We start from the raw sequence: 8,786 nt of genomic DNA on the forward strand, positions 1-8,786 counted from the left end.
GTCTATGTGTCCTCAATGTTTAGTGAGTACATGCCGTGAGAACATGCCCTGTTTGGTGTTCTGTTTTCACAATAGGTTTCTCAGGATAATGGCACCTAGCTCCATTGCTGCAAAGGGCATGATTTTGTTCTTTTTTATGGGTACATAGTATTTCATGGCATGTATGTACCACACTTTCTTTATCCAGTCCACTGTTGATGGGGATTTAGGTTGATTCTGTGTCTTTGCTATTGTGAATAGTGCTGCAATGAACATATAAGGGCATATGTCTTTTTGATAGAATGGATTATTTTCCTTTGAGTATATAACCAGTAGTTGGCTTGCTAGATTGAATGGCAGTTCTATTTTAGGTTCTTTGAGAAATCTCCAAACTGTAAAGCAGGTGGATATTTTTTTTTTTAAAGAAAAAAGAATGGCTTCATTTTGGTGAATGGGGCAAGTTGCCAAATTTTCACTTGCTCTTTCCATTGGCAATGAAATAAAGCCACATCCAAATACTGAAGCCTCCTTCCTGAAGAATTCCCAATGGCCCCAGCCCCCCAACAGCTTGTCTTTCCTATATTACTTTTGCTATTACCCACCTGATGATCAGAATGTTGTCAGAATCAAGTGCGAAACAAAATCAAAAAAAAAAAAAAGAAAGTAAAAGAAATGAAAAGCACATCCCCCAAAATAGTGAGTAAAACAAGTAAAGAGCCAAATAATGTTAACAACGCAAGGTAAGTGCTTGTAATTTATCTCAGAAAAGTTGATTTGGATAAATTATCAACCAACACTCAAAATTTAGGTGTTATAAGTACACATATGCAAATACTTACAAGATTATTACTTCTAAGGCCATTTTTGCAGTTCTTATGATTGTTGAATTAGAAGTGATCAAATTCCCTTGGGGAGGCTGAAGCACTGATGGAACTTTGCTTTGCTGTGGCATCTTGTTTAAAGACCCCTTTTTTTGTTCTCTTCTATTTTATGCCATCATTTTTGGCTTTTGGGCCAATGGGACTGTCTTCTATGCAACTTCTCTGAATACTTAGTGAATTCTGGACATTAGGATTTGTCTGATAATTCTGTTTGTTCTTCCTGAACAAGGTCTTCGTGGAATATAAGGTCAGATTTGGTCAGTTTTTTCAGCCCTTTTCTTTCACTGGTTACACTTAAGCTGATTTCCAGACTCCACTGCAGGCGGAGCTGTTTTCATGGTCACCTTGAGTTCCCTTACTTAACATTTTGTTAAAATAAAATTAAGAAATCCCTGTAATGAGAAGGTATTGTTGAGAGCGGTCACACATATAACAGAAAGAATCAAATACATTTTCCCCATGCCCTCCTCTAATTCCACTACCCAAGAGCATTGAATTATTTATATTCAACTATATTTAAAATGGAAGCCAAATTTAAAACAAATATTGTGTGTAACGTATATGACAACAGCTCTCTATGGAAATAATCTTTAATGCAATATTATGTTTATTTCACTGAAGTGACAATGTGTTGCTACCAAAGCTTCCCAATGCAACAAGAATCTCATGGAGGCTCTTCATGATCTTTTTATTTCTTTTAATTGATACGTTTCCCTGCTTTTGTAAGTTTAGGTGAATCAACCATCCTGGTGTCAGAGTCTCCAGTTTTAAAATGAACTAGGAAAAATCACCGGTGTCCTTTTACCCTCTGCTCTTCTGAGCTATACGGTAACCATATTAGAGGCAGTAACCATTAATTCTATGTTTTGTCTCAGTGCCTTGGATGCAAGTGAACATCAATAAATATTTGTATACGATGCTAATGATGTTTGTAGTGAAAAGGATCTTTAGTAAATATAGAAAATGTAATACATGTAAGGCTCCCATTTAGGCCAAACACATCATGGAAACCTATGGCTTAGAAAGGCAAGTCAACACCTATTGGACACTTGGGTGCACTGCTTATATTTCTCAAGGCAATCATCGTACACCTTCGCGCCCACTGTCAGGAACTTGATGTTAATGTGCAATGGCTACACTTGCATTAGGGCCCCAGGCAGAGCCAACAGACATAAGAATAACATTCCAATTTTTGCAGAAGGAAAACAAAAGCCTTTGTCTTTATGGCATGAAACCCTATGTATCATGAGAATTTTGCAAGATGATAATCTGAAAACTCCTAAAAGAGTGGGTTATGCCATGGTCTGTCTTCATGTGACTATTATTGTCATCAGATTTCTGTTAATTGCCAGAGTTTTGGTTCAAGCTAGTAATGCTGCCTTGGGCATTCCTGTGGCCTAATGAGAATAATGTAACATGGAAGAACTTATTACCCAAAGGGCAAATGCCACCTATGCAGGGGCCACTCTTGGGCAAGCTTGGAGTGGACAGACAAGGAACTGAGATGAGGTCTGCAGCTGGAAGTGAATCTAGGGGCTCACATCTTGCAATGTGGACCAAGAAAATATAAAACCACAAAAAGCATAGGTTGGTAGTATTGTTACTTCTTTAATAAGGTTGTGGACTATTGTCCATTCTTTTATGTACAGGTATCAATGATTTAGTGCCCTCCAAAGATATGATTAATACATTTGTATACACTTACCTGAGAATTTGGTAGTTGTGGTTGAAAGAAACTTGTTGGTCAGAGATCCAAGAAAAAGTATGATTATGTTAGTAAAATATTGTGAGTGATGTTCTAAGTAATTCATGGATTACCTCTGTCAGGTAAGGCTTATGATGTCCATCCAGAAAAGTAAAATCTTAAGACAGAGAAAGTTCAAGTCATTCAGTCAGGGTTATTCAGAAGTTTAGTGGATCAGGTAGGTGTCTAAGTATCCAAGTGTGGAGTACCAGGTCATAATAATTTTTCTTGGCTGGGTGCAGTGGCTCACACCTGTAATCCCAGCACTTTGGGAGGCTGAGGCAGGAGGATTGCTTGAGCCCAGAAGTTTGAGACCAGCCTGAGCAACATAGCAAGACCCCATCTCTACAAATAACAAAAAAATTAGCCAGGCATGATGGTACGCTCCTGCGGTCCCAGCTACTTGGCAGACTGAGGTTGGAGAATTGCTTTAGACCAGGATGTTGAGGCTGCAGCGAACTATCATTGTCAATGGCACTCTACTCCAGCCTGGGGGACAGAGTGAGATCTCATCTCAAAAAAAGAAAAAATTCTGCTGTAGTATACAGGTTTTTATTCAGGGATATTATTTCTGATTGTAAGTATTCCATATATCTTTTCTTCTTTTATATCATTTCCATGTACCCATTCTGTCTTGATAAATGCATCATCTTTAATATTTTAATTATTTGATATTAATTGAGGACTTCCAGATTCATTACATCAGTTAGAATTGTACACATATATACTTAAATTGTATATATTTAAGGTGTATAACATGATGTTTTTGATATGCATGTAGATAGTGAAGTGATTACTACAGCTAAGCAAATGACCTTATCCACCCACCTTCCACAGTTACCCTTTTCGTGTGGGGTAAGAGCACCTAAAATTCACTCTGAGAGCGAATTTGTGGTATGCAGTACATTATTATTAACTCTAGTCCTCAAGCTGAACTCTAGGCTGACTCATCCTCCATAACTGCAGGTGTGTATCCTTGGACTACTTCTCCTCACTTCCTTCTCCTCCCCACGCCTGGTAACCACTGTTCTACCCTGTTTCTATGAGTTTGACTATTAGATTCCACATAGAAGTGAGATCATGCAATATTTGTCTTTCTGTGCCTGGCTTATTTCACTTAGCATGATGTCCTCCAGGTTCATCCATGTTGTTGCAAGTGGTCAGTTAGGATTATATTCTGCAACAAACACCCTGAAGTAACAGTGGCTTAAGCAAGATACATGTTTCTGTCTCACAAAATAGAAGTCTGGAGGTAGGTAGTTTACAGCTGGTAGGAGGTTCTATAGATTTCCGAGACTCAGGCTACTTCTATTTCCCCACCCCTCCCCACTGAATTGTCCTCAACAGACAGCTTCCATATCCTAAAGTGGCTCTGGGACCAGGAGCCAAATGTCCATGTTGTAGGTTGGGAAGAAAGATGGGTGGGCCATGGGATGCACCTGTAGCCAGCTCCTTGAAGGAGCTTTCTGGAAACCCACAAAGTATCTCATTGCAGCTCATTGGCCAGATGTTGGAGGTGAGGCCATACTTTGCTGCAAGGGAGGCAGGAAAATGTAGTATCAGCTGTAGTGTTAGGTGCCATGTCAACACAAATAATATCAAGATTCTGTTACTAAGGGAATAACCAAACAGGATGATGAGCAGCAGTATCTACTGCATATACCTACTTACTTAGTGGCTTCCCTGCCTGGTCATTTATCCCTGGTCCTTTCTGATTACTTGGATGCCTTTTCTACTTGGGTGTTAAAGAAAAAGCAAAGATTTGGGAGGAAAGAGGACAAAGGAGTTGGTGGCCTTAAAACTCAAAAGGGTAAGTACATGGATGAAGCCTCTTGAGCTGTGACTGGTGCTAAAAAATAAATAACATTTACTAAACACTTACTATGTGCCGAGATTTGTGTTAAAGTATCTTATATATAATATCTCATTTAATACTCAAAATAAATGTATGAAGGAGTTATTATTCTTGCCATTTTACACAAGGGGAAACTGTTCTGCAGAGGCTTAGTAACTTGTCTAATGTCACACAGCCAGCAATGGGAGAGACAGGATTTATTTTTTAGGCTCACTGATTCTAAAGGCTGAGTTCAAGCTCTGCATTCCTCAGCCTCCCAGGATGGGAAGGATAAGAGGACAGCAAGGTCATAATGGGAAAGGTCTATTTTGAAGTGCCTATTGATACTTCCTCTCTCTAAAGTTTCTACTGAAGAAGAATCAGGCAGCCATGTTTGTGGCATGGATTCTGCCTCTTCAGGCAGACTTGGCTGGTTCTGGGATGGAGACCACCCATCAAGGGCATCATAGCTGATTTTTTTCCCTTGGAATCTCAGATTGAATTACAGAGGAATTGAATTGTGGGAACAGAATGCAAAAATTCAGTAAAGTGAGTAGGAGGTTCCCACCAGAAGACAGAAACAGGAGAAAGGGGTGGAGTCCCTAGAGCAAGGTTATTCCATGGCTGGTTGGCCCTAAAGAAAAGCCAGAGCTCTTTCTGTTAAGTTCTCCAGCCATTGCCTGGAATTCAGACCTACTGTCCAGTTCTGCTTCTTTGAGTCATGACTGGGAACCCAACTTCCATGGCCTGAAGAGTCTCTGTTAGGCTTACAATCAACTCTTCTCATTCAGGTTCATTCAAATGTTTTTCTGTTTTTTATATTCATGAGGGCTACAGTATAATAGATTCCTGGACTTAGAAAATATTCATTTTAGAGTGTGATGATTAGCACCACAGATTATGCAGCCAAACTGCCTGGGTCTAAATCTAGATTCCACACTTATTATCTGTGTGACCTTGGGCAAATCACTTTATCTCTCTGTGCCTCAATTTCATTATAGAATGCTTCATGACACATTGTTAATATTTGTATTAGTTCATTTTCACACTGCTATAAAGAACTACCTGAGACTGGTAATTTACAAAGAAAAGAGGTTTAATAGACTCACACTTCCCCATGGCTGGGGAGGCCTCAGGAAATTTACAATCATGGCAGAAAGTAAAGGGGAAGCAGGCACCTTTTTCACAGGGTGTCAGGAGAGAGAGAGAGAGTGCAGGGGGAATTGCCACTTTTAAATCCATCAGATCTCGTGAGAACTCCCTCACTGTCATTAGAACGGCGTGGGGGAAACCGCCTCCATGATCCAATCACCTCCCACCCGGTCCCTCCTTTGACACATGGAGATTACAATTCGTGATGAGATTTGGGTGAGGACACAGAGCCAAACCATATCAATATTATATACATGTTTAATATTATCATTGCTCTTTCTGCATTGTTTACTATCAGAAAAACAACCTCTGCTTCTGATTTTCACAGAATACAACCCTGTGTGGTAGGTCATAGTGTCCCATTTCCCAAATAAGGAATTGAGGCCCAGAGAAATTGGGTAAGTTTTCCATGATCATTGATAAGTACTCAAGTCAGGATTTGCCCTTAGGTCTGATTCTAAAATCTGTTCTTTTTCCCTGGACCAGAATCACCGTGCACTTGCTCTGTGTAAAGCAGCCTGGGAAAAATTGTCCCAGGGTCTCTTTAGTCCCAAATGAGATGTGCCATATATTTCTCAAATGCCCTGCATTTGCATAGGTGTTTTTTTTCCTTTTGCATTATGAAATTACTTTAACAAGAGTTAGTTCATTTTCTGTTGTATATGCCAGAGTTCATTGGCATAATAAAAAGCTTGTAAGTCTTTTGAGTAGATGAGAAAAATTCACTCAAGGCTTAGTTAATATATATGAGTGTTATTTTTTTTCTCCCATCACTCTGACCTGTAAATGGCTCATTTATCAGTGTGTTGAGCAGGTAACTTTCAGCCGATGGGCCATGAATGAAATCTGTGTCTGGTGGCGGCCATGTACAGGGAGAGAGAAAAAGTGAATGATAGAAAAAAGAGGCAATCAATGTTTAAACAATGGTCTGCCTTCAGCAAAAGAAATCCCCCATGTGCTCCAGACTTCTTTGTGTGGGAGAAGCTAGAGGGAGACCACAACCATAAGCTGTCTCATCTCTTTTAAATCTATATTGGCAAATTAGCTACTCAATGGCTTTCAAATGCGCTAAGACAGCTTGTCGTTGTAATGACTGACAGACTGGGGAAATCTGGACCTCTGTGGAATAAGGGTCTTAGAGAAGAGAAAGAAAATGTTCTGATTAGATGTCATTGAAGCCTTTATTTGTACTATTCACAACACTAAATTATGAGGATACCATCCTGACCTAATCTATTAAAAGGACTTAAACATGCCCTGGAATGACAATACAGGGTCTTACACAGTCAGGCCTAAAGTGGGGCTGGTTTTCATCCATGTCGGCTTAGGAGTGGGAGAGGTGCAGTTTGGAGTCAGGACTGAGCAGACAGTGGTACTGTCTCCAAAGCTCTAAGAGAATTTCTAAAGGGTCTCAGCCCCAGATAGCTCTCATTATTTTCTTTATTGCAAGTTTTCATTTCATGTTTCTGTTAATAAACTTAAAACATCTTTTTTTTTGGTCAGATGTTTGGGGAAAGTGGACATCAAGGCTTAGTTTTGTCTCTTTATAACAGGAAATGACATTCAGAAAGTATTCCACACATTATTACGAATATTTCCACCTGATAGACAAATATTTTAAGACCAGTGAGAGAATCCTATTTAACTTCCTCTCCTGGGATATGAAAGGTTATTATAGAACACAACACTAGTGATGTTTTTATTTCAGTTTGGGCATATTTTGTTTCATCATCTAGGCAGTAACCATGGTTGACTACATAATATTTTTGTACTTAGCTATGCAACTCTTTCTTCATACGTCCTTGCTTAATAGAATCTACATTACTATCCAACTGAAATGCTGCTACTTTAGTAAGGATAGTAGCACATTTTAAAAATATGCTGGTTTAGAAAGTATTACATCTGTGTTTTCATTTGCACTAACTTCTAAATACAAACATTTTAGTGTTTCTTCTATAATATGTTGCATTTCCACCCTCATAGTGTATCAGGTAACAATATATGGCATAGTGATAATTTTTTTTTTTTAGTATTTAGATTTTACAAAGCATTTTTACATGCTTTTCCAATAATCTTTCACATAAATTATTAGTCCCAATTTACAGGTGCGGAACCTGAGGTTGATGGGGTAAGTCATTTATTTAACCTAATAGAGCTGGCAGGGAGGTAGCTTGCAAACCCAAGTTGTAAGTCTAGAGTCAAGACCTTTCATCATTGTGTGAGAACTGCAGAACAGGAGAGGTAGTTGTTTTGGCGGATAGCCAGATACCACGGGACAGAGGCCACTGGAACACAGGGCATTTCTCTGCCTTCCAGTATGGGAGTCTCTAAACAGGAAGCTGTTCACTCAATTCTAAACCACATTTGGAGAACAAAGAATTTTATTCATAGATGAGCTTTAATTGCCAATTGCATTGTTTCTTTTCACATCCTTTTATCTCTCTAATTAAAACTGGGATGGATAAGATCTTAACTTTCTTGTTTCAAGTTAAAAATTCAGATTTTTATGGGTAAGTCTTCAGTGTTTCACAAGGCTCCCTGGTTTCTCAATGAAAGTTGCATAGCACCTCTTTTGTTCTCATCAAGTGGCATGCTTATAGGGCTAGATAAACCATAAAATTATAGGGTAGAGCTGTAATTACCTCTGCTTTCTAAACCACAGTGTAGGATCCTTATAGCACTTCCTTTAGAATGTGATTGAGTTAATTGTTATTACTATGTTATCATGTAGCATTAACTAACATACCCAAAGCAGCTACCTAGTTATTCAAGAGTCATTGCATCACCCAGAGCCCGGTGACTTAACTTGTGATCAGCGTTCATGAAATGTGCAAAATCAAGTTCTTGCTGCTTGTGTTTAGCTGGGGATTATAGCTCTTATAAAAGCCTTAGGGCTAGTTTAAGTGGCCTGAGCCTGAGGTTTTGAAATACCTGGAACTTCACCCAGGCTCAAAGCCCTAGCATGGTTGACTCAACAAGTGTAATATCACTCACTGCACTGTTTGTGTGTATTTAGGAAGACAGCTTAAAATTTAAGGGTCCTGTGTGCACTTCAACAGACTTGGGGCATTTTGGGAAGGAGTAGGAGTGCTTTTATGTTCAATCAACCGGCAAACCTGTTATACTGGTAATGTTATGTGGTAGAGAAATGGGAGAACTGGTTTGGAAAAAGTGAGAACTCTTGCTCTTCCCACTT

At 39.1% G+C, this 8,786-nt stretch overlaps 1 pseudogene, besides 1 other annotated feature; it reads right to left on the reverse strand.

The window, feature by feature from the left end:
* On the reverse strand, nucleotides 1,043-6,908 carry KRT8P16 (keratin 8 pseudogene 16; annotated as a pseudogene).
* Nucleotides 7,685-7,888: a silencer, noted in NCBI's record as "fragment chr10:8585341-8585544 (GRCh37/hg19 assembly coordinates)". NCBI's record gives its function as "represses an EF-1alpha promoter that drives an FKBP-Casp9 reporter gene in an ReSE screen in K562 erythroleukemia cells {active_cell/tissue: K562}" and the evidence as "EXISTENCE:reporter gene assay evidence [ECO:0000049][PMID:32094911]".

This window comes from Homo sapiens, chromosome 10 (assembly GCF_000001405.40).
Source record: "Homo sapiens chromosome 10, GRCh38.p14 Primary Assembly".
NCBI lineage: Eukaryota > Metazoa > Chordata > Mammalia > Primates > Hominidae > Homo > Homo sapiens.